A 24,249-nucleotide genomic window follows, 5' to 3' on the forward strand; every position below is an offset into this window, starting at 1 on the left:
GAACTGGGTGTGATATAATGTTAGAATCTCAGCTTTCAAAAGGATCTTGGGGCTATCAACCTCACATCCCATCTAATATATGCCATTCCGTCTATAACATCTTCAGCAGGTATCCATTTAATGTCAGCATGAGTACGTTCAGTGACAAGGAGCTCACTATTTCACAAGTCAGTCTAATTTACAGATATTCATCTTTGACCATTGGAAAATTGCCCTAAAAAGCAAGTCCCAAACTCTGAAACTTCTATGCATTAATGCTGGTACTGCCCTCTGACAGGATCATGAAGAACAAATCTAATTCCACTTTCACTTGATAACCCCTCAGAACTTTGAAAAGCGCTATCAAACAAGCCTTTTCCTAGGTAAACATTCTCAGTTCATCCCCTGTCCCCTGCAGCATATGCCTTTAAGTCCCACTGGCATCTTAATGGGCATATTCCTATTAGAGACAGTCATGCACCTGTAGCCCGCAGACTCGTTTTTGGTCCTTGAGTGTTTGGGAGGAAAATTAAGAAAGATGTGTGGGACGTTATTTCTTTAGTTTGGCACACTCCTCCTGTTTTCTTACTTAAGAAGTGTTTCCTTATCTAAGTTACCTAGCGGCTTTGGGAAGTGTTCCAGTTTGTAATTTGTGTGTGAAAGGGCAGCTCCTGTCTATCATACCACCCTGAATGTGCCTGATCTCATTTGAAAGGGCAGCTCCCTTGACTGGACCCGTACTGTAGATATGATGTGAACAGCCTGGAGGAAAAGAGCTACCATCTCCCTTATCCTAACTATATTCCACTAATGATTAAAACCTGTGTGACGCTTTTATCAGCTGTTTCTACCCTTTACTTTTATTTACCCTTCAGTTGTCTTCTTAATAATAACTAAAGTTCCTAAGACATTTTCTGACTGATTGGCAATCCAGTTGACTAAAGTTCTCCACTCTTTTACTTGTGCAGTTAATTTTTTGAACCTAAGCATAGAACTCTGCACATAGTACCACTGACCATCATCTTCCTAAAGTCAGTTCAACTAGGCAGAATTTTGAGGACTTTTTGGTCCTCGTTCTACCAGTTCTTCACGGGATTGTGTGGTCTTCAGACAGCCTTCTCTCTCTAGCATGTACTGATAAACTAATGAGCAAGACCAGACAGAGGGGTGCCCAGAGGCATGGCGCTGAAAACCTTTCCGTTTCCCACTGGGTCCTCCATGCTTCTTTCTCTTCTTTGAATCTTTCCTCATTCACCAAGAATTGTCACCAAGGTGTGCAAGATCTGTCCTTAAAATGACTGTCAAGTTCTCCTCCTTGTTGTCATGATTGACAGCTGTCCCTCATCAAATTAGGCCTAGAGTTGTGCCAGTAATTACCTAGCTCAGCTATCTGGCTCTTACCTCTCACGTTCTCATCCATCCTGCATAACATTGCCTGATCATTTTCCTAAAATATCACATTCATCACGTCTCTTCTGCTCCTGATCTTTTAATAGACTCCAGTTAGAAATGCAGATCCCTCTGTGTAGAGTGCATGGCCTCAGTCATCTCATTCCTTCCTAACCCACCCATTGTTCTATGCAGCCTGGACTCCGATCGCCGTAGGTATGTTTGCTCCTTCTCACCCCATTCCTCGCTCATGCTATTCCTTCCATCTGGAATATTCCTCACTCTCCTTATCAACTATCCAAATCTTATCTACTCTTTAAAGGCCAGATTTCAACCTCTTTTCTCCATGTAATTTATTTGCTTTTGTTTATGTTAATCACTCTAAGTCAACTCCTAATGTCTAGATAATAATTTTTCTATTAATATTATCACTTTATAGTTCTAGTCATGTCAAGCTTCTTCTTCTGGGCTGCAGGGAAGTTTCCTCGAGGAGAAGCAATTTCATTCAATGCTTTGGTAGAAACCGTTTTTCCTCAAATAGCATTAAACAGATGGTTGATGCTTGGTGAATGTTGCTGCTCTTTGGTTGACTTATTTACCTTTTAAAGGAAGGTAGTACTTAAATTCGTCACTGATCTTGGAATTTCAAGTTGAGGATAACATTTTGGGGTAATTAACCTATACCCAGTTATTCTAACAGTATTTCTGAAGAGCTGCCTACTTGCCCCCAAAACATGGGTGTTTTGGATTCAGTTCTGGCATTTATATCAAGGGAGGATGCTGCTGTAAGTTCTGGTTTTGCAAACACTGTACACAACTTCTTCTGTTTGCTAAGTAATCTCCCTCTGGGTGCTACTCTGAGCTAACTTTCACAAATGTTCATTTCACTTGTAAGTCTAGGAAGGTAAGCATTGTCTTCTTCCCTTCCCAAATAAAAACTTTAGTATTATAATAGCTTGCAGAAAGTTTCTGTCTGGCATATTAACTTAATGTCTACCATTTACAAAAAGAAAATTCACCTCTCACTTTGCTTTTTTCTTTTTCTTCAGACAGAGTCTCACTCTGTTGCCCAGGCTGGAGTGAGCGCAGTGGCGCGATCTCAGCTCACTGCAGCCTCTGCCTCCTGGGTTCAAGTGAGTCTCATGCCTCAGCTTCCTGAGTAGCTAGGATTATAGGCATGTGCCACCAGGTAATACGATTTTAAGAAACAAATTTAATTCACTTAGTTATATATTTCTGTGCAGACCTGAATTCCCATTCAAAGAAAGTAGCCTGTTACAGGTAACTTTCTTTGTGTGTCCTGATTCATAGTATATTTATTTTAGCAACATCTATAATCTATAATAGATACCATGTGCAAATTGATAATATTTTTAAGTGCTTCACAAATCCCACAGACTGCTATTCCACTCTCCCATGTCAGATATTGTTAAAATTAATTCAAAGTAGTATCACCACCCCAGAAATATATTGATTAGGCCCCCCAACTTTAGGCTTTATGGCAGTGGGCTTGATGTTCTAAAAAGAGAGGAACATTGATAAGCCATACTTCTATTCTCCTGGGAAATTCTTTTTTGCTCAATTATCTTACAAGTTCACATCAATTTCTTGTTCCTCAGGTAACAGAGGAAGTTCCTAAGTTGTCTGGAGATTGCATGTCCTCACACACTAAAATCCTCTGAGCTGAATGATTCAGCTTTCACTATTGCTGTGTCTGTGGACAAAAAAGCAAAATGTGAGTCAATTCCAGGTTCCGTCACATTTGGGAGTTGCCAAGTAAAGGAAAACATAAAAGATTAATGTTATTATTCTGATTTTATTTTGTTTTGAGGAGAAGCGTGGGAAATGACTACCATACAAATCAAGAAATTCATGAAGGCAAACAGTTGATGACTGTCACCTAGCAATCTGTTATTTTCTTTTATCCTTTCCCCAAGACATATGCCCTCTGACATAAGCATTAAAATCAAATTATACAATTGTCAGAAAACCTGTTCTCAAAGCTTTAGGGTAAAAATTGTTTAATCAAATTGTAACACAAATTGAGAAATATCATTAAAGTGATAATGCCATCCTGTAAGAATTGCTGAATCTACTTGAAGTTTGTGTTTGATTCACTCTATTCAGAATTGTTTACCTATGCAAATTACTGATATCAGTAAAGTTACTTGAACACCCACTCTGTGTCGGGTTTTGGAGACATAAAGGCAAATAGAATGTAGATTCTATTCCTGAGGAATAAAATATAATGGAGGAAACAGACAGGTAACCAGTAACTTCAACCAAATCATTAAACGCACTGAATGAAAAGGGCAATGGGAAACACAGATTTATTTGTTTATTAATTGATGCAAGAACATCTCATTTTTATGTCAAGTTTGACATTTCAACTGGAAAGAGCTGGAATAACTTTGGAGAAGTAGTTCTTTGGGAAGGTAATACACATTTATCCGTTGGAGTTTTTATGCAGGTCACAAAGCGGCTTTATCCAGCTTGGTGCATTTTAAAGAAATATTGTTTAGGGAAGTTTCTGAAATGCCTCTTTACAGCTCTTTTGGAAATAGACTATACTGGCTGTGATTTTTGCACAAAGAACATTGAAGATAATTCAGGCAAAAAGAGCAGAAAGATCTGCACGTAGGAATCAACCACTGATACAGTGTTAAAGTGGGCCCGCATCATACACCCATTGAGAGGTGTGGAATAAAGCAATGTTGAGCTGACCTTGGACATGATATGTGTGTGAGGAATTTTTTCTTTATTTAACTCATAAATTAGTCAAAGAAGAATTATTGGCAAGACTGCGACTTGAAGTTTTGTATTGATGAAAAAAAAGGAGGGGAGGAAATCTGGTGAACCAGATCTAGGAAGGAGATAAAACTCGAAAGAACATCAAGAAGAGAATATATGTACATTTTAGTTTCTTGTCACAGAAGAAGGAACACAGGTCACAGCAACCTTTTTCACAAGTAGGTAGATCCCTCTTATGCAATTTAAGTAATAAAATAAATATTAAACCTCTTCTCTGTGCAGGGTGCTGTGGTCAGCATCCTGAGCAATACCAGAAGGAGGAAAGGTTAGCCCTTCCCCCAAGGGACGAGGCTTATTTATTGCCAGAAGATAAGATGTGCATACATGTAACAGCAATGCAAGGAAAGATATATTAATATTTATAATAAAGATACAAATAGAGCTAGAGGGAGCTTAGAGGAATACATTTATTCCAACAAGGGTTACGGCAGAATTTATGCGAAAGTCTTCTTTGGGCTAAATGATAATCATAAATTCTATAGGCATGCATGGAAAGGAAAGACACTCCAAATTAAAGAAGTACAAAATGTCTGGGTGCGATGGGTTCACACCCATAGTCCCAGCACTTTGGGAGGCCAAGACAGGAGGATGACTTAAGGCCAGAAGTTTGAGGCCAGCCTGGGCAACACAATGAGACCCTGTCTCTACAATAAAATAAAAACAAATAAATAGCCAGCTGTGTTGGCATGCACCTGCAGTCTCAGCTACTTGGGAGGCTGAGACAGGAGGATCACTCAAGCTCAGAAGGTCGAGGTTACAGTGAGCTATGATCATGACACTGCACTCCAACCTGGGCAGCAGAGCAAGACCCCGACTCAAAAAAAACATATGAAAAGAAAAAAGTATGGAGCATAGTTGGGGAAAAGCAAATAGCCCTATCTGAGCACAGTCGACTCATGATGCTCTCTTCTACTATAACTGCCTTTACTTTTCTCATAAAAGTTGAAAAATACCATTCTGCCATTTGTGCATTAATTTGCTAGAGTTGTTGCAATAAAGTAGCAGAGACTGGAAGGCCTAAACAACAGAAACTTAGTGCTTCACAATTCTGGAGGCAGGGTTGGCTCCTCCTGACAGCTGTGAGGGAGAATCTGTTCCATGTCTGCCGCCTGGCTTCTGGGGGCTGCTGGCAGTCTTTGTAGTTCCTTGGTTTGTAGATGAATCTCTGCCTTCGTCTTCATATGGCGTTCTCCCCATGTCTCTGTGTCCAAATGTCCCCTTCTTCTAAGAACTCTAGTGATGTTGGATTAAGGCCACTCTAATAGCCTCATTTTAAGGCGATTACCTCTATAAAGGCCCTATCTTTATAGGGAAGGAAAAATTAACCTGTATGAGGATATAAAGAAGAGAAAATGACGTTTAGGCTGGCAGATAGATTCACGATATATATATATATCAAGTAGCCTTGATGTTCAACATAAAGAATAGAGACATTATTCTAGGCAATGGAGCTCCATGGCCAGTGTGTACAAGGTGATAAAATTACCTTGGAATACTAAGTAAGCTTTTATATACAACTGAGATGCAAAGTTGTAATACAAATGATAAAGGTAGATGAGATTAAAAATAAAAGAGAAGTAAGAATTAAATGTTGTAAGTCTGATAAGGAGCTTGGATGTCAAAGAGAATGATTATCATTTATTTAGATTATTTTAAATTGTTTTTTATAAATTATTAAATTTATTTTATGTTATATTTATATATTATAGTTATATGTGAATTATAAATAATTCATGATATACAACTAAATTATAATAAATACAAACTAACATATATTATATATAGTGAATATGCAATAAAATGTAATAAACATACATTATTAATATAATTTATAATTATGTTATTATTACATTCTAAATATTTAGAAGATTATTTGTAAATGATTTATTTATGGGATTGAAGGAAAACTTTACTGACAGAAAGGATACTTTCCTTTAAAATCCAAGAGATGGAAAGATTCCTGAACACAGCAGGGACATCCCATGGCTAGGAGGACAGACCATTTCCCCAATCCACATCATGCAAGTAGCTGAAGCCCTGTTTTCAAACACTGTCTCCTGGGTTGGATTGGCTGTCTCCATTTCACCAACTTCTTGAAACTTAACACCTAGAAAAAAATTTTGCTCCCTCTCGGCACTGCCCCCTCTTACTCCCCCACACAGGTGTGTATGTACATACACACACACAAAGGCATGCACAGGCATGCACCCCCACACATGTGTCCATGTACACACACACACACACACACACACACACAGACATGCACCCACACACACTTGCATGTACACACACGGAGGCATGCACCCACACACACGTGTGCATGTACACATACACATGGAGGCATGCACAGGCATGCACCCCCACACCCATGTGCATGTACTCACACACACACGCAGAGGCATGCACAGGCATGCACCCCCACACACGTATGCATGTACACACATGCAGAGGCATTCACAGGCATGCACAAATGCACATGCCTGATGCTACATGCATTGAAATGCTAAAGAGCTACTTACAAAAAACTGGATTTATCATCATAAATAGTTTTCGGAAAAGTAGGAAAAGCAGAATGATATTTTTTCAACTTTTATAAAAGAAAAACAAAGGCAATGTATGGTAGTAGAAGGAACATAGACTTTGGAGTCTGGCAGTCAGCCTTGTACTGAGCTCCACAAACAATTTTCTGGGTAACTGTGGACAAATGAACGAACCTTACAGACTTTGGTTAACATCTATGTAAGGTGGGGATAAATATGTTATATAGCTATTTGGAGGATTAGATGAAATAAGTTATATAAAGAATATAATAAGTTGCATATGCCTTTCATTATCCTGAATTTTAATTTTAATAACCAAAAAGATTCCAGACATTTCTCCTGGTAGATTTAAACATATGCTTATGCACAGACTGACTTGCTATTTTATTCGCGAGTCTAAAAAAAAATTAGCTGCATAATAAAAAAATTAGAATATCTGTATGGAAAAACACACAGCCGTTGTGGGCCCGTGATAATTCTCAGCAGAACTGGCAACTATTGTTTAGGTAAAGTTTCCTTCAGTCATTTTGCAAACCTCAATGTTCTGAATTATGAGCTAACTGTTTTGGAAGTGAATAAAATATACACTTTCATGTGAATATACCAGTGTTTGTTAGAAGGAAACATAAGGAACAATTCTAAACTTCTTATGAAGATGCGCGATATTGGGCCTGCAGAGACATACAATAGCAAGAAAGCAATGGTTTTGAAATAGGATGTAAATAAAACATCCTTCTTTTTTTCATTGCTTTTGTAGTTTTTTTGTACTCCATAATTCCAGTAGACATTTTCTGGGCAAGAGAGTTTGTCAGCAATTATTCTGTTGAGGATCTGGAAAAGAAAACAATAATTAAATACCTTCACTTATCCTACTTTATCCCTGACTCTGTAGCTAAACTTAAGCATGGATTGAAAATAAACATACCTTGAGATAATTTAATATAGAAGAGTATTGGGCCTTGGCCTTGAAACAATCTTTCAGACTATGATACAGATTAAATTCATTTATGAATACTATTTTAACTCTTTCTTCAATCTGTCTCTAACATGTTAAACAACTACTGTGGAATATTTCTTGAAGAAAAAAATACCATTTAACTCCTCATAGGCAGGAAATGGCAGTAAGTGAATGTGCTAATTCTGCAACATGGGAGAAGACGTGGCCTGAAGGATAATTGAGGGTGTGTAATAACACTTTATGTTTCAGACTAAACCATGTGTATGTGATCTTCCCCTGCCTCTTGCTAAATGATAGCAACAAGCTTGTGGTGGTTCAGGCCAAAACCTTGGAGCCATCCTTGAATCTGGCTCTTCTTTCATGCTCCCAGTTGGATTCATTCATCAGTGCTCATCAGCTGTATCTAGAATTTCACAAATTCTCACTGTTTATGCTGGTCCAAGCTTGGATTAGCTCTTACTCAGATGATTGCAGGAGACTTCCAATTGCCCTCCCTGCTTTAGCACTGACCCCTTCAACCTGTCTTTTGCACAGTAGCTGGAGTCGTATTCCAAAATTCACTCTCTACTCAACACCCTCCAGTGGCTTCCCAGCCTCTCTTACTGGGGTGGATTTCCTAACTATCCTACGTAAAAGAACATCTCAGCACCTCCACCCCTGGGACTCTCTAAACCCCGCATCTCCTTTATTTTTCTCCGCAGCACCATTCACAAATGTTCATCCCATAATTTTGTGTGTTTATTTGTGGGCTTAACCACCTAAAAATATAAGCCCCATCCAGAAAGGGCCAATTTTTGCCAAAGTTACTGTTCTATTCCTGGCTCTTTGTTTCTTCTGGTTTAAATTTTCTTTTTTTTTTTTTTTTTTTTTTTTTTTGGTGTTTGAGGTCTGTAGGTTCCGTGGTACTTTCTGCTGACTCCTTAGTGGATGAAACAGAAGTTTCACATTTGTCTTTTTCTCTTTTCACTCTCAGTCACCATGATTCAAATAAACTAATTCTCCTTAAGATCCCACTTTATTTTTTAACTCCAATAAATGTAATTATCAGCTGCTGAATTGTTTGACATGTTTAGGGGGTAAAAGCTTTCATTTTGTTGGCAATATAGTCTTCCACCCCCTCCCCAGTTAGGAAAAATAATAAAAGATATGTTACCCCAAAATTATACTCCCTAAAACATACTGTTTTCTATCTGTTTCTACCTATTTATTTGCATATGTTTAAACGTACAATGCTTTCTTTTACTTTCTATTTTTCTGCAACTATGTTCACTATTTAGCACCCAAAGTTTTCAGACTGAAACTCAGGCCAGTCACATCAACATTTCTTACAGTTTCTTGAGCACTTGAAGCTTGTTTGCCACCCCAAGTCTTTGTTTTCTGGGTTATTTTGTCTAATACTTTTTCAGACTGCCTGCTGGTGAGCAGAGGTCTTGGTTCTAATGCCTCCACCTTGAGGCGGATTTTACCGACCGCCGTGTCTAAAATAGTCATACTCTTGACAATCACTCATTGTACCCACCTACCCTGCTTTGTTTTTTTCCGTAAAGCAGCCAATGTTACCTTATAAATTTAGCTGCCATTTTGTGCCCACCAGTAGAATAAAGTTCCTTTGAATCAGTGACTTTATCTACTCATGTTTCCAGCTAGGACAGTGCTGCCTGTGTGGCAGGGGTTCCATACGTGTTGAGAAAAAAAGAAGTGAATGAATGAATTCCTTTGTATAGACATTAAGCTGCTAAAAGGGGGCTATAAATCCCTTTAACCTGTTGTCACTAGCTGCTTTTGGAAATACCATTGTCAGGGACAGGTTTTTGAGAGTTCTTTAACCTATGAGGCAATTTCTAGACATTTATTTTAAGTTGGGACGTTCCACTTAAGTAGCTAAATTTGAAATTAAAGAGATTAACCAGTGAAGATCTAAATTCTCATTCTTGACAAAGCTACCTTGTTTTATCTTTTCTTTAAACCTCAAGTGTTTTAAAAAAATTAATATCAAAATGTAAAATAATATCCACATTATTTAAGTTAAAATGATATTAATTGCTATTTGACATGAAGCATCATTGTATCATGAGATATTACTAAAGGTAACTCTGCAGTCCTCCTCCACCTATGCCAAATGAGGAAGGACACTGATTGTGATGCTTCTAATGGCAATTTCATTTTGCTGACATCGACCTTGAAAGCTAGTTAATGTTATTGGACTTGTCATGGAATTCCAGAAACAAACATTGTGAATCAAACAATTAAATAGCCAATTAAAAACAAATAACAGTCTTTTCATTATCTGCATCTAAGTGTTATATGTATAACTATATCCATATTATTGAATATATATATATAACTGTATGCATATAGATACTCTCTATATATGTAACTATACCCATATATATGTGTTTGTATGTATATAACTACATCCATATTGTGGAAGATCAATCTTGCAGTTGATCAGGAAATTGCAAAATTCTCTGATCTAAGTTGGGCAAATATTTTGTATAATCTTATTAATTCCATATCTATAGGCAGGCTGATAATGCAAAGAACACCTGACAACCTAAATGATGAGAAATAACATTGTAAATGATTAAGATCATTAAAACTGTGGAGATAGATATGCTATGGGTTTGGGTATGTGACATATGAGCAGGAGGGTATGAGGAGATGAGGAGGGGACCTGTGGTTCACTTTAGATACAAGCTTCAGTTAAGCTTAAATTAGAATCATTTACTGACTATTATTTAGTCATTTAACCAGGTATCAGACAGAGAATTTAGTAACTATATTGAATGCCAAGTTTAGATAAAGTAAATTAATATTTTTTTCTTATATCTCAATTCTTGACAAGTTGCTTGTTTCTAAGCATAAAGAAAATAAGTATAGGCTTTAAGGCCTTAATAAATATGGCTTTAGAGTGAAGGTTGACCACTCCTCAACCATGTACCCTGGTACCTCTCACCACACCGCAAACAACCTGCCGTGTTCCTAACTTCATTCATGCTATACCTCCCACCAAGAAAGCCTGTCTCCTTCTTTCCCAGCTTCGTTTGGCTTCTTTTTAGGAAATTGAAATAATACTGTTCTGAGTTTTCAAAACTATTTGACAACTCTCACTCATTCTGCAAGACCCAGCAAAAATGCCACCTCCCCACAATACCGCCCTGAGTTTCCAGGTAGCATAAGTGAGGCCTTCCTCTGGGCCCTGGACATTGTACAGATGCAGCTGCAGTGGCACAGATGAGATTCCTTAGATAAATACACATCCCTTGTGTGTTGTTTGCCCATCTGCTTCTTCCACTACACCGTAAGGTTTTGGGGTCATGCATGGATTGTGTCTGTAACCCCAATAACAAATTGGAGTTTTCTTGCTCCTCTGAGACTGGATAAACTTTACTGACCCCCATCCAACTTTGCATCCTTTGAGTCCCGGGTGCTCCCCAAAAGTCTTGAACATTACTCAGAGTTTACTCCTGCTCAGTCCCCAGTGTCTGCACTCCTCTTTCCATGTGGTTCAATAATGCTTGGCCACCCAGACCCCCCATTCCATCCATCAGCCCAAAGATTTAATAAATCAGTAATCATTAAATAATAATATACGATATTAATATTAAATAGTAAGAAATAATAAATTATTGTTATTTATAAATCATTAATAAGTTCATCAAGTTCCAGAGGACTTGAGGGGTCCTGAGGAGAGGATCACAAAACAATAGATCTCCTTCCACCAAACCTTTAGTCCACTGCCCCACTCCCTCCGTCTCTCTCCATCCTCACATCCCCATTTCCCGCTCTCTCACTCTCTCTCTGCTTTTTTTTTTTTTTAGTGACAGGGTCTCACTCTGTTGCCCAGACTAAAGAACAGGGGTGAGACACAGCTTACTGCAGCCTCAAAATCCTGGGCTCAAGGGATCCTCTTGCTTCAGCCTCTAGAGTAGCTAGGACTGCAGGCACGCACCACCATACTCTGCTAACTTTAAGACAAACAATAAAATGTAGAGATGAAGTCTCACTCTATTGCCCAAGCTGTTCTCAAACTCCACATCCAGCCCCATTCCCCTTTAGCTATAGCTAGATCCATACCAGGGCTCCCCAGAGCCCATCCCCCCAGGCTTAGATGCCTTTTGATCTCAGCCTTTGCCTCTAGTAAGCCCATTCAGAAATATTTCCAACAAAGAAAACCCTCCCTTTAAGATAAACTGTCAGACTACCCAAAAAGAGAAGGTTATTTTTAATCTCAATTATACATTGTATCCATCTTTGTCATGAGCATAGGATCAATAATTTTATAGATGTTTAAAAAATAATTTTATTCACTATAATTGTCCCAGTTATCTTGGTCCCCGATCAATTTCAGGTAACTTTAGGAGTCTTCTATTTTAGTTATCCTTGGTTGTGATTGGAATGACTTCGTTGGTTTGTGAGCTATTTTGATTTTGCTTTTGTCCTTTACAGAATTCTCTTCAGGTCAGAAAAAGAAAAAAGATTATTTGAAAGTCATTTCTTACTTAGGAAATATTTCTGTAAAATAAGTGAAATTTTTTTTGAAAGTTGAAAATGACAAAATTCACCTTTCAATTTTATCATCAGGATCTTATGCTAGCAGAAGTATGTAGTTGGAATGAATGAAAGAACAGAAGTCTCTGTAAGCTGGGGTATCTCTGACTATTGAAAATACTTTACCTTTTAACCAGTGCCTGTTGCTAGCATTTAAAAGAATTTAAGCATAATGCCGCATTTCCTCGAATACTTGCATTGCAATCTTAAAAGCTGTTTCCCTTAGAAATCTGAGAACAGTAATAAATCTATTCGGTAAAGACTGTATTTTGTAAACCCCAAAGCACTAATAAATAGTGTTTCTCTTTAATGAAAAGGTCCAATGTTTCATCATGGACAAATACCCACATTTTATGGAGTAGAGATGGTCTGTTATCCCCAGGGTTATCCCCTGACCATATCTGGACTATTTCATTACTCCTCTGCAGTGGAATTTGATCATGAAGTAAAAAGACATATTTTTGTCCTTTTAATTTACCCAGGATTTAAACATAGGTATGATACAGCGACAAGTTAATCAGAGATGTGCTTGGCCTTTTAAATCCCCTTCCAATCCCTGACACAGGGCCAGAAGCCAGCGCCTAAAAAGGAAGTCCACACGGGCAACACAAACACTGCCCGCTAAGCCCGGGCACAATCTGCTTCTGCAAAGACTGTGTCAACGTACTTCATGGGCATTTCTGTGCGGTAGAAGACAAGAGCATAAAGTACATTAAGTACATTAAGTGGGAGGCAGCTGAGCAAAATAAAGTGAATTCCGAATTGGAAGTCAGAGATCTGAATTGCAGTTCCAGTTATACTGTTTATTATCTACACACCCTTAACCAAGTCATTTCTGAGTTCTGGGTGTCCATTCCTTAATCTGTAATTATGGATGACACTATTTGCTCTGTAATTATACTGTCGATTCTCTAGGGATGGTTGATATCTTGTTCTTCCTTTCCATCACAATTGTGCCTGGCCCATTGCTCATCAAAGGCTTTTTGAGGAATTAAAATAGGTATGTTGAGGGGAACAAAATAAAATAATAAACAGAACAAGCTCCAAATAAAATGTAAAATGCTGAATGCAACTGTAATCTTATTCTGTTTACTGCATTATTGAAGATGCATTGCTTCTTCTACAATTTGCACAAACACCAACATCACATTGATGAGAAGCATCCCTCTATGTTGGGCTTAGTTATTCTATAGCTCCCATCACAGATCTCCATGGACAGAGAATTTTGCATTTCCCTATATCATACTGTTATGTCAGCCACAGCTGGGGTGACCACTTGTCCCAGTTTGCTGGAGACCTCTGCAGTTTACCTCTGTTGCTGAGGCACAATTATGATTACTCTCTTTCACTAACAAACATGCCTTAGTCTGGATGATAAATTGTGTGATCACCTTATTTAAGTATAAAAAACGGTGTTCCATTAAATTGTTTTATGGACGAGGGACAAAACATAAGCCCAGAGAAATGTATGTACCTCTTTAAGGTTTTAAGCCCTGTTCTTTAAACCAGACATGATGTTAATACGGCAGATTTCTTTCATATCATTTGGGTAATTCATCTGTGTATGCCTAACCAGCAATGCTTACAAAATTAGAAGATGTCTCTCAAGGCCTTAGTTCTTAGACTTAAAACTGCTTTTTGCTTGCCTGCGGGAAACCCAGCCTTCTATTAGTTTTCCCATCTGAAGAACTTCTGGAAATTTCCAGGATCTTCATTCATTAATTCAATAAATACTCACAGAACTAGCACAGCCAGCATGCCATGAGCTCCTGAGTGTGCAGTGGTGAACAAGAATGGAGAGCCTTGGCCCTCATGGAGCTCGTCATCTAAAGAGAGAAACAGGTGTTAGCAATTTTATAAACAAAAAGCTGCTCTTCTGATACTGCACCTAACTCACAATGCTTCAGATAAAAGGTGGCAGTGGAGAGTGCTCTGAGAGCACCTGATAGTGAGATGTGAGCTCATCAAGAATGCTCAGGGGACGTTTCTTCTTGGAAGGTCCAGTTAAGCTGAGACCCGAAAGGTAAATCAGAGTTACTTGGGTGAGGAGGGATGAGCAGAGGCAGAAGACAGCTTGTGCCAAGGCCCTGCGGTAGAAGGGTGCACAGGCACAGGACGGGGAGGAGACAGAAAGGACAGAATTTGCACAAACACATAACACAGCAGGAAGGGAAAGCCTAGTGGAAAATGAGGCTGCAGAAGTAGCTGAAGAGGTAGGGAAGAAATTCAAGTGTTTTAAGCCAGGGGTGATACAATCAGAATTGTGCCTAGAAAATATTAGCTCAGCTCAGTTGTGAAGAATAGACTGAGGGGCAGGAGAACCAGAGTAGGTGAGGTGACAAGGAAGGAGGCAAAATTTGATGAGTTTGGGGATTTTAGATGCCTGATGTCTTGAATGACCTAAGTGGACAGTTGTACAGTGGTAACTACAGCATGTGAGAGAGATGTGAGAGAGACATGGCATTGCATGGGATGAAGATTTTGCCAATAGTTTAAGCTGAGAAAGAGTACTGTGGAAAAACTTGCTAAAAGGTAGACAAATGAAAAGAACCCAGAAAAGAAAAGACCATGGAGGTAAGGGGGAATTCAGGGAATGATGATGTCCTGAAGCCAGAGAAAGAGTGAATTATAAGATGGGAGTGGCTAACAATATCAAATACCACAGATTAAGTGAGTAAAAACTGAGAAGGACCCATTAGGTTTATCAACTATGAGTTACTGATTACCTTGGAAATATCAACTTCAATGAAGAACTGTTAAGAATTAAAGGCATATTTAAATTGGTTAAGAGCAAATGATTGGGTACACACTACATATTTTAAGTAGTTAGAACATAAAAGGACAGAGGGCACTATAACTAGAAGAGGAAATAGGCTATGCACCAGAATTTTTGTCAATGATTTTATTTGTTTTGTTTTGAGAAGGCGTGTGTGCAGTGGTGTTCTGATAAACCAGGCCTCCAGAGGAGAAATAAAAGCTCTAATTTGTAGCTATTACAGATGACCATGGCGTAAATACCGTCACCATGGCTGGAGTAAAACTATCATGGAAGAATGCAGAAGGCATTCAGAATACCTTATTGAATGCAGATTTGAGAAGATACCTACAATTAGCTATCAGCTCCAGTGCACCACCACATAGAAACCAATGGGATGGGAGAGGTTGAAGGTTTGTGTGAGAAGTGGGATTGCTAATAAAACAGATAAAGAGGGAGGAAGGTAGGATCCAGAGTAAAAGTGGGAAGATTAGTTTTGGATAAGAGAAAAGATATCTCTTCTAATGAGTTGGGTGGCAAAGAGTTAGGCTGGAATCAGTTCATAGGGAGGAAAGGACATTGAGTTAATTCTCACTTCACAGGCTATTTTACCTGTAAATTAGGACAGGAGGGCTTTGCTGAGAGTGAGGAAGTGGCAGTTTGTACATACTGTTGGATTGGAAGAAACAGTTAAAGCTTGAAAGAAAAGGAGATGTGGAAGGAAATTTGGACAGTGTTGAAGTCCTAGTGATGTTGAAGACCAGGGCTTTGTACCAGTACCATTCTGCAGAGTCACATGAAGTTAACCAGAATGTAGCAACCCAGGTGTATGAAAACAGACATAAAATAATTGCATTGATCTTGGGTTGAAATTCTGGAGGAAAATGTGGAGGGACGACAAGAATTCAAACGAGAAGTGGGTACTAACAGGAGGATGTTTGAAGTGATAGGCTATGATGTCTAGGTTAAAGAGAGAAGAAAGTAGAGCCAAAGGGAGCTTTTAGAAGTAAAGAAAGTGATACTTTTAGGGGATTTGAGATATGAATGAGGTTGTAGAACTGATGGAGTGGAAATACAAAGTCGGTAGAGTTGAAAAGTTGGTTGGCGCTGTTTAGAGAATAACTTCACAGAGTGAACAAGTATAGAGGTGGCCAAGTTTGGGGTCTCCATGATTGTGACTGGCTGAAGCAGAGTGGAGGTTCAAAAAGACTATTGTAGTGAATAATAGGGAGCTATAAAGCAGGTGCTGGTTGATAATCGAAAAGGGCATTGACGTCATCCAGGATCTTGGGTTGGATATTAAGACTTTAAGCCATGTACCAAAGCCTTTGTTAAATGTAGAAGGCTTCACTGGGACTCCAGCCATTCACAGGGAGAAATGATGTTTACAGCTAAACAGTGTGACTCTCAAAAGAGCCTTTTTTTGCAAGAGAGTGAATAAATAATATTTTTAATTTGGTAATAAGGAAAGCTAACCAGTGGGTCCTAAAATAGAATTAAAAAAAGAAGAGGAAGAGGAGAAGGGAGAAGAAGGGAAAGGAAAGAAGAACCTAAACTTTAAAAAACCTTGCTAGAAGAAGGGAGGGGCCCAAACGTAGCTCAAGGGGAGCGGGGATGTAGCTCTCTGACAAAATGAGAATGTACAGGAGGGTTCATTTGGTTTATTTGTATGTGTATTTGGTTGTTTGGCTTTGTTTAGATTTGTTATTAATAGTTTGTTTTGATTTTAACCATCCATATGGCATATTTGAAGAATACTTGTTCCAGATAATAGTTATGAGATGACATATTAAGGGACAATAATTGAAATGTCCTCAATGCCAGAAAAACAAATGTTCTCAATCACTTCCAGTTTTTTTTTTTGCATGAATAAAGTTACCATGAGTACATTTTCCAAAAAAGAAAAAGTTCAAATGTAAGATCTGAGTTGAATTGTGAGCTTCTCTAACGGTGTTCTTGGATTCATTTTTCAACTGCAAAAGATTGAGATCCTGAATAAGGCTTATGGGTGTATTAAAACTGTGCCCTTGCAGAGGAAGTAGCCTTGAATAGTTATTGGCTTTGAAAGCAACCAGTTTTGTTGACTTAATTATGCTGGTACCAGGAAAGCATAGAATAGATCCTGTTGATAACAAGAGCCATGCTGGACATTAACAGTTTCACAGAGAGTAGTGGGGACCATTTCTTTGGAATAAAGTTGAAACATGTTTCTTAATAGACAACTCTCTCAGCATTATAAAATCCTGATACAGAACTCAAGGAAAGACACACACGCACACACACACACACACATGATTTTTATCGTTGTTATCTTAGTAAATAATGACTAATGTGGTTTTTGGTTGTTATCAGTTGGTTACGGATTGGAGTTAACATTTCATCAGATCTGAGCAATAACCTATGTGGTAAAGTCCTAGTGTGGCAGGAATTTGGGATTCAAGGGGGGTGCTTATATAATCTGCTTTCTTAAGGTAAGGTTTGCTCTTTTATGCTACCTGTCATTTCTGCCTTAAACAATGTCCGGGAAATTCAGCCACACACAACAAAGAACCAGATCCCTCATTTCGGTTCTATCCTTCCTCCTCTAGAACTGACATTCCTTGGGGCCGTGTCCTCAAGTGACGTGTCCTGCTCTAGCTAAATGGCAGTAATCTGTGTTTGACTCCAGCAGTTTATCAAGCTATGTCATTTTATGCCATGTCAGTTTATAGAGAGTGGCACAAGATACAACAGGATAGGGAAGCTGAGTTTTCTATTTGTCTACTTCATTGAAAACATGATTTTGTTTACTGACAAGTAAATGGTATAGGTGTAAGGAAAGAGTAGCAACTACCATATTATTTTGCCAGAATCCTCATGTTACCGTTTCAAAAAATGCCAAGAAAGATGACAGTGCATGTTATAACATCCCTTACAAATAATAGCAAAGCTTTAATCAGCTGCTACACAGACACACTCAGGATTGAAATGCAACCTACTAGGGTGAAACATGACAAGCGGTTCATTGAACACTGCGCAGAAGGTAAATGAAGTGTATATTTTCCAATCACAACTGGAATTTTAAGTGAGTGAAATGGAATAAACTCAGTTTGGAATTTGAAATAAATTCACCATGGAATGTGTCTTAGAGACCAAGGTTTACACTAGCGCTATACAAACTCCTCAGCGTGAAACATGACACAAGGTGAAATTTTCCTGGCATCTTAGAGTCAGATACTGACTTCTGAAGGACCAGGGCACAGACATTTCATCAAGAGCTATTTGTTTCTAATTGGGGAAGAAAATACAGATGTTTATATAATACTCTGGGTCAGGAGTAATATTCCACCTGGTACATGGAGTTTTGTACACTTTTTCAGAGGTGGTATTTCTAGCTGAGTGTTAGCAGTAAAACATTTTCATCAAATTTCCATTCTTTTTTTTTTGAAGCCTACTTGCATAGTTCTAAGGAGTGTCATAGCTCACACATAGTGACACTGATTAGTAAAAATAAGAAGTGATTGAAGAAAACACAAGGAAAGAATCAACTTGAAGTCATTCAGAAGTAACCACTAGTAGCAATTTAACTACCCTGTTGCCAAAGCTCTTTTCTTAAATTACAGATCCTCATGAGCTAGTAAGTTTGAAGGGGAGTCATAAAGAGGAACAGGCATTATACGCAAGGCTGAAGAAGCAGTTGGTAACTAACAGTACATCTTTTTCTAAGGTAAGTTTAAGGTCACAAAAAGACTTAATGTACAGAGTTGAAAAACTTACATATTTCTTAGAAGCTTAGAAGTTATGAGTTTAGTTGGGGCTCCAGGAAGATGCAAGATGCTAGACTCCAAAAAATAAGAGAGAGGTCCAGTGTAGAATAACACTCTATAGATTAAAGGAGGACTCAAGAGTAGAGGAAAAACTTAGCAAAATACAGGGCTATGAGTTAGGTGTTCCTAGTTAGAGTCTGAGTGTCCGGAAATGATGAAATGGGTGAGCTCCAAGAATGCAGGATATGTGAAATTGGTAATCAGATCTACTGGTTTGCTTGTTCTGAGTGTATCGTTAGGGTTTTTGGGGACTGGTGTTAGTGGTGTTGGCAGAATTAGTCCCCTGCTCTTGGTTATACCTGTCCACTTTAAACAGTAGCTTGTAGTTATTTAGCCCTTAATTGCATTCAGGTAAAACCAATATAGCACCCTATAATTCAGCAAATATTTGTTTTCCTGGCAGTATTACAGTTTCAGGGGGCAGTTCTAAGGTGATTACAGTTTCCACTGCTTGGAGCTTTCTGTATATTTATCCTTGGATTAGACTCAAAGTAAGCTGATTTTATCAAGCCACCGGGTAATTCTGACCATTTCATCTGGCGATTTTAGTACGGTATTGTTGCAGCTGACCTGTATACGTAAGGAATTACTGGGTCATCAGCTCTGGGGAATGTCTTTTGATTATGAACACATTTTCAGCATGTGTCCACTGAAGGTAAGGGGCAAAGAATTGCACGATCTACTTGAATGCCTGTTTAAATAGATAAAAGTGGGATTTTGGGCACGGCCTGGTTATATCTTCTTAAACGTAGGTAGTAGAGCCGCAACTCAGCGTAGCAACAAGAGATCTTTTGAACAACTGAACATTCAGATGAAGCAACTATGTCCTTCAAACCACATCCTTCCTGCTGCCTGTGGGAAAGGGGTGATATTTGTGTTGAGCTCTGAGCACATGCAGAATAGATCTGTGTGTATTTCCACAAATAAAAGGACATTGTGTGTGTGTTTGGCACCTGGGATGGCAAAAGCAGTTAATTGCTTCCGAAAGCTTTGTTCCAACCCAGGGATCGGCAGGATTTTTAAGCACTGAACTAGGAACTGGGCACTAAAAATACTTATGCAGAAGACCTATGATAGCAGTAAGTTTACAGAGCAGAGCTAAGACTTGCAAACCGTGTTGTATCTGTGTCTTTACTTACTATGGTTGAGAGGAAAGGATTTACACGCTGCGTTTGCAACCTGCAAAGTAATGAGCCGTGTTGTAGTAACATTTTGAGATATTGTATGTTGTGTTGTTTATATGAGGATCATTCAGAATATATAGAATATAAGTATATGTTTTTCTAAAACAAAAAACTTTGCCCTAGTTTCTTTGCATATATTGTTCACATCATGTTCATATAGTCACTGGCAGTTAATGATTTTTGTCATTTAGTCAGAAACAAAGTAGTGCTCTGCCTCTGAAACCCCAAAAAAACCTAAATTAAAGTAAAATTAAAAGATGTATTAAAATTAAACTTGGATTATCAAAATGAAACAGTAATGCTCTCGTGCCACTCAACGCCAGACTTTTCATGTTGCAGATAGCAAGTGAACAGAAAGCTAAGCATGAACATATTTTAAATGCTCCTGATATTTTCAAATGCTTAATCCTAAGCCTTAAAGGGTTTTATCTATAGAGATTTGGGGAATTTCAGTGTTTCTTTTTCTTATTTTAGATTTCCTGTTAAGTTATTCTCCAGAGTTTTTATATAAAATGCACGAATAAGCATGATTTAACGAGAAGACAAAGTCTTAAGTGCTGTAATTCATGTTGGAAATCATGAGTATTTTTAAGTCTTCTTACTTATAATCAAAGTGGTCATCTCCTGAATATAATGAAAATAAGAGCAAGTGATAGCCCCTTATCTTTATTTAAATATGCTTTATCTGCAGGAGTTTGAACAACTCAGGCAAGGAAATATTTTGTTGAGAGGCAAGATGCATTTTTAAATTTATTTTTGCTTAATATGTGCTCAACTTAAATTGATTTGAGAACATATATTTAAGCAAGGTCTTCATAAATTATTATAAAATGAGAATTGTATATTGTGACATGTTTAATAATCATGATTTTATTCCAGTGATCCAATAAAAGGAGTGCTCAATTGAAGGAATGGAAATGTGTCAAAAAGCCCAAACTCTGCACAGTATAATGATTCCTAATTCTCAAAAAATCCAATGGGTTTTAGTTTCTAAAAGTGATACGATAAAAGAGTACAGAGTCTCTCTCTAATTCTGTGAGTGAAATTCTCTTTAGAGGGAATGCTGAATAAAAAAGATAAGATCAGGGAAAGAGGTGAAAGAAATGTTCTTCTCCAGTTCACCTTACATTAGGAGTCAACTTTTACCCAAGCTCAGGCAAAGTTACTTATATGAGAATCCCGGTACTTCAGGATGGAGAGAATGAGAAACAAGAAAATGATAGGCATGGTATTAAATCTTAGGTATGGCAATTCTATTGAGCAACATTAATGTTTTGGAAGGTTCTAAATCATAATAAGAAGTATGTATCTCATGCATGATACAAATGCATTTCATTAACAGGGAGAACAAGGTTTAGAGCTGAAAGTAAATCAAAGTAAGAGTTTGTATTTTAATGAAGTACAGAAGAGCTGCCCTCCTAAAGGATTGAAAAGGACTCAAAAATGTCCTTTACATATTGTCAGTACAAATGAAGAACATGTATTGAATTAATTCCTACACAGAAAATTCATCATGGAATAGCCAATAGGTATTATCTTTCTACAGTATGAGAAGTACAAAAGAAGTCTTTACTATATAATCTGATTCAGATTATATGCACTCGTGTGTATCATAGGCACTCATGAAACAATTGGAGAAAAATACAAACAAAACAAAGCAATGTAATGGTGTGGCATGAAAAAATAAATATTGCAGCAGGTGAGCGAGGGAAATCAGAGCTGATGTGGGAGATTTGCAGGACAGTGACTTTTTTTTAAGATGCACTTTTAAAAGGGGTGAAATGTGTCCCTTCAACACAAGGCATTCCAAACCATGAAATCCTAGAAGAAAATGAAAAATCATTAATTTGCCAATTCACATTCAGCTTTTGGTTCATGGGACAGGCATTTAGATACAACACAACCTATTTGATCTTCTCCTCCATAAATCATTCAGTTCCTTTAATGTTCCAGCCAAAGTCTGTGAAGCAATGTAACTGCTTGATTTTGTCAGGCGATTTATAAAAATGTAGTCACCTGGAAAATGCTAAAGGGATTGACTGAAACCAATTTTCACTCTTGTGAAATGCATCTTTGTTTCAGTCAGGTTGACTCAATAGCTAACAAAACAGAAAGAACCTGACAGACATGTTTCCCAGTGCCCATTGGCCTTATGTGCCTACCCACTCACATATACCTAGTTAGTTGCATGAACAGATATTATTGCTGTCTCCTCCCCACAAATATTATTTTTGCTACCTTAAAAAGACTTTCCTCTTGCAATTTAACAGTAAAAGGACACAAATAACAAAATCTTAAGACTTAAGTTCTAGTCTTAATATCATTGCCTATAGGAGTTGTGACTTTGGTTTTTAGTTCACATCTCTTAGTCTTGGTTTTTCTTCATTGCATTATTACTCATTAAGCACTCTGAGCAATACAAATGCATTTTCTGCAGTGCAAATGTATTGGAATTGACAATCTTCATTATGTTAAATATTAAGTAGAACTTTGTACAAATAATGCATTTCATTTAGAACTGAGTTAACATATTCAAGAGTGGCATTGAATTCAGAAACTGAATTGTTTCTGGCCTGGACAAGCTATGCATTTATGGTTAAGAACATTCATAAACATGATTGTACCTTATTGAATCTCATATTTCTTATAACTTATTTTTTTCATTGTTAACACATTCCAGGGTAAATATGAACATGTATCAACTAGGGAATATAAAAAATCAAAAGAGAAATAAAAATCAACTAGAATTGGTTGATTATGTCATCACTGTACTAATTCGTTTTCCTCAAAGTACAAAAATTCCATGTTGATGCATATATTGTACCTAGATTAGCACTTGGAGCCAATAGAGACTTTTGAATTTTCTCAGTATCCTCTGCTTTCTATCTCTCATTTCACCTCTGTAAGGTGAGAAATACTGTTGAGTTGGAATGTCAATAATATCTAAACTGGCTTTCATTAATAAGAGGTAACTATGTCCATTTATTTAGCTATACACCAGGCACTAGCACTCAATTACTTGCCAGAAATGCTAAATACATGAAACAATTCTGTTCAATAAGGATAAAACAGTGCCTAAGTAATTTCTATAGGTATTCTAAGGATAAAATAAGGAAAAAAATAAATGCATTCTAAAGTATAATTAATTATAGCTTTAATTTTTAAATGTCAATGTTTTGTCAATATTTTTCTTTGAAAGGTTAACAATGTATATTATCTTAATAGAGATCACATGAATCAAATTATATTTTGCCTTATTTTGGACTGTTTCAACTTTGTCTTTCAAAATAAATAATGGGTCAATAAGGGTTGCCAAATTCAATACTGAGACAAATGTTTATTAAGCTCCCATATGGCTATTACTAAAATGTACTACTACAAATATCTGTAATAATTGCTGCCATATATCGAAAAATTCCTGTATGCCAGACACTGCTTAGTACTTCATATGTTCTGTCTCACCACACTGATCATTTGCAGGATATAAGGTGATTAAATATAATCCCCATCATTTGGGGCAAATTGTATGAGATGTGTGTAGAATTAGAGTAGGAGTTGCTGTGGGTCAACATGACTGGCCCAGGGCTAATACGTTTTAAGGCCCTCCTCTTCTCACCATTTAGCCTCTTGGGATTCTAGAACTTAAAGATGAGGCCTCATAGTATAGGCCAGTAGAAGTTTGCATCCTGTCTGCAGCAGTTCAACTGAGTGCCAGATTGAGAAGCCTGCCAAAACTCCAGGGGCTTTCACCACAAAAAGTAGGGAAACAAACTTCATTTTGTGAATGGGTATATTTTGGCCCTGAGCTGACATTCACTGAAGCCAAGCTGTACAGCCTCTGGTATTCTCAAATATGCTTAAAAACCCACAAACCTGCCTTTTTTTTTTCCATCCAAGTCAATATTGGCCCAAAGTCAGAAGCCTTGCCTTTTTTGGTCATGTTGTAGATGCTGGACCAATGTCGACTTGGTAAGAATGTTGACTTAGGAGGGCATGGACGCATCCTGGCCCTTATAAACCTCCCAGATTTACAGAAGTGCCTCTTGAGCTCTTAATGAAATGAAGTAAGTCTAATTCTCTGTATTAGGTTGTTTATTGAGCAGACTCATGGCAAAGCCCAAAACAGTATACCTGTGGGGCTGATATTGGCAAAGTGATAATATCTTTGTAGTATTCTTCAGATTAAGCTGTTTTCTTTTTCTTTTTATCACCATATATGGTAGTGGCTAAGAGTCAGTTTTAGAATTATGAGTTAATAAATCCAGGCTTTGCCATT

The 24,249-nt window shown here is 37.7% G+C and overlaps 1 protein-coding gene and 1 long non-coding RNA gene across 33 annotated transcripts in view, besides 1 other annotated feature; one reads left to right on the forward strand and one right to left on the reverse strand.

Moving 5' to 3' along the window:
• The window catches only part of CHRM3 (cholinergic receptor muscarinic 3), a 528,883-nt gene that overhangs the window by 313,643 nt on the left and 190,991 nt on the right, over nucleotides 1-24,249 (forward strand). For 10 of the 32 annotated variants that reach the window (NR_164748.1, XM_047443115.1, XM_011544043.3 and 7 more), the window contains one exon: nucleotides 18,586-18,689. The exons of the other annotated variants lie outside the window; for them this stretch is intronic. The gene's annotated coding sequence lies outside the window, so the exon portion shown is untranslated. The remainder of the gene's footprint in view (nucleotides 1-18,585; nucleotides 18,690-24,249) is intronic. 32 annotated transcript variants of the gene reach the window in all.
• Nucleotides 5,955-6,484: an enhancer, noted in NCBI's record as "H3K27ac-H3K4me1 hESC enhancer chr1:239869465-239869994 (GRCh37/hg19 assembly coordinates)". NCBI's record gives its function as "activates a minimal SCP1, AML or CMV promoter by ChIP-STARR-seq in primed H9 embryonic stem cells {active_cell/tissue: H9 hESC(primed)}" and the evidence as "EXISTENCE:reporter gene assay evidence [ECO:0000049][PMID:30033119]".
• Nucleotides 6,916-18,909, reverse strand: CHRM3-AS2 (CHRM3 antisense RNA 2). Its single transcript, NR_103776.1, has 3 exons — nucleotides 18,740-18,909; nucleotides 13,967-14,054; nucleotides 6,916-7,550 (listed from the first exon to the last, which is right to left on the reverse strand). It is a non-coding gene; the product is annotated as a CHRM3 antisense RNA 2 (long non-coding RNA).

Source organism: Homo sapiens, chromosome 1 (genome assembly GCF_000001405.40).
Source record: "Homo sapiens chromosome 1, GRCh38.p14 Primary Assembly".
NCBI classification, from domain to species: domain Eukaryota; kingdom Metazoa; phylum Chordata; class Mammalia; order Primates; family Hominidae; genus Homo; species Homo sapiens.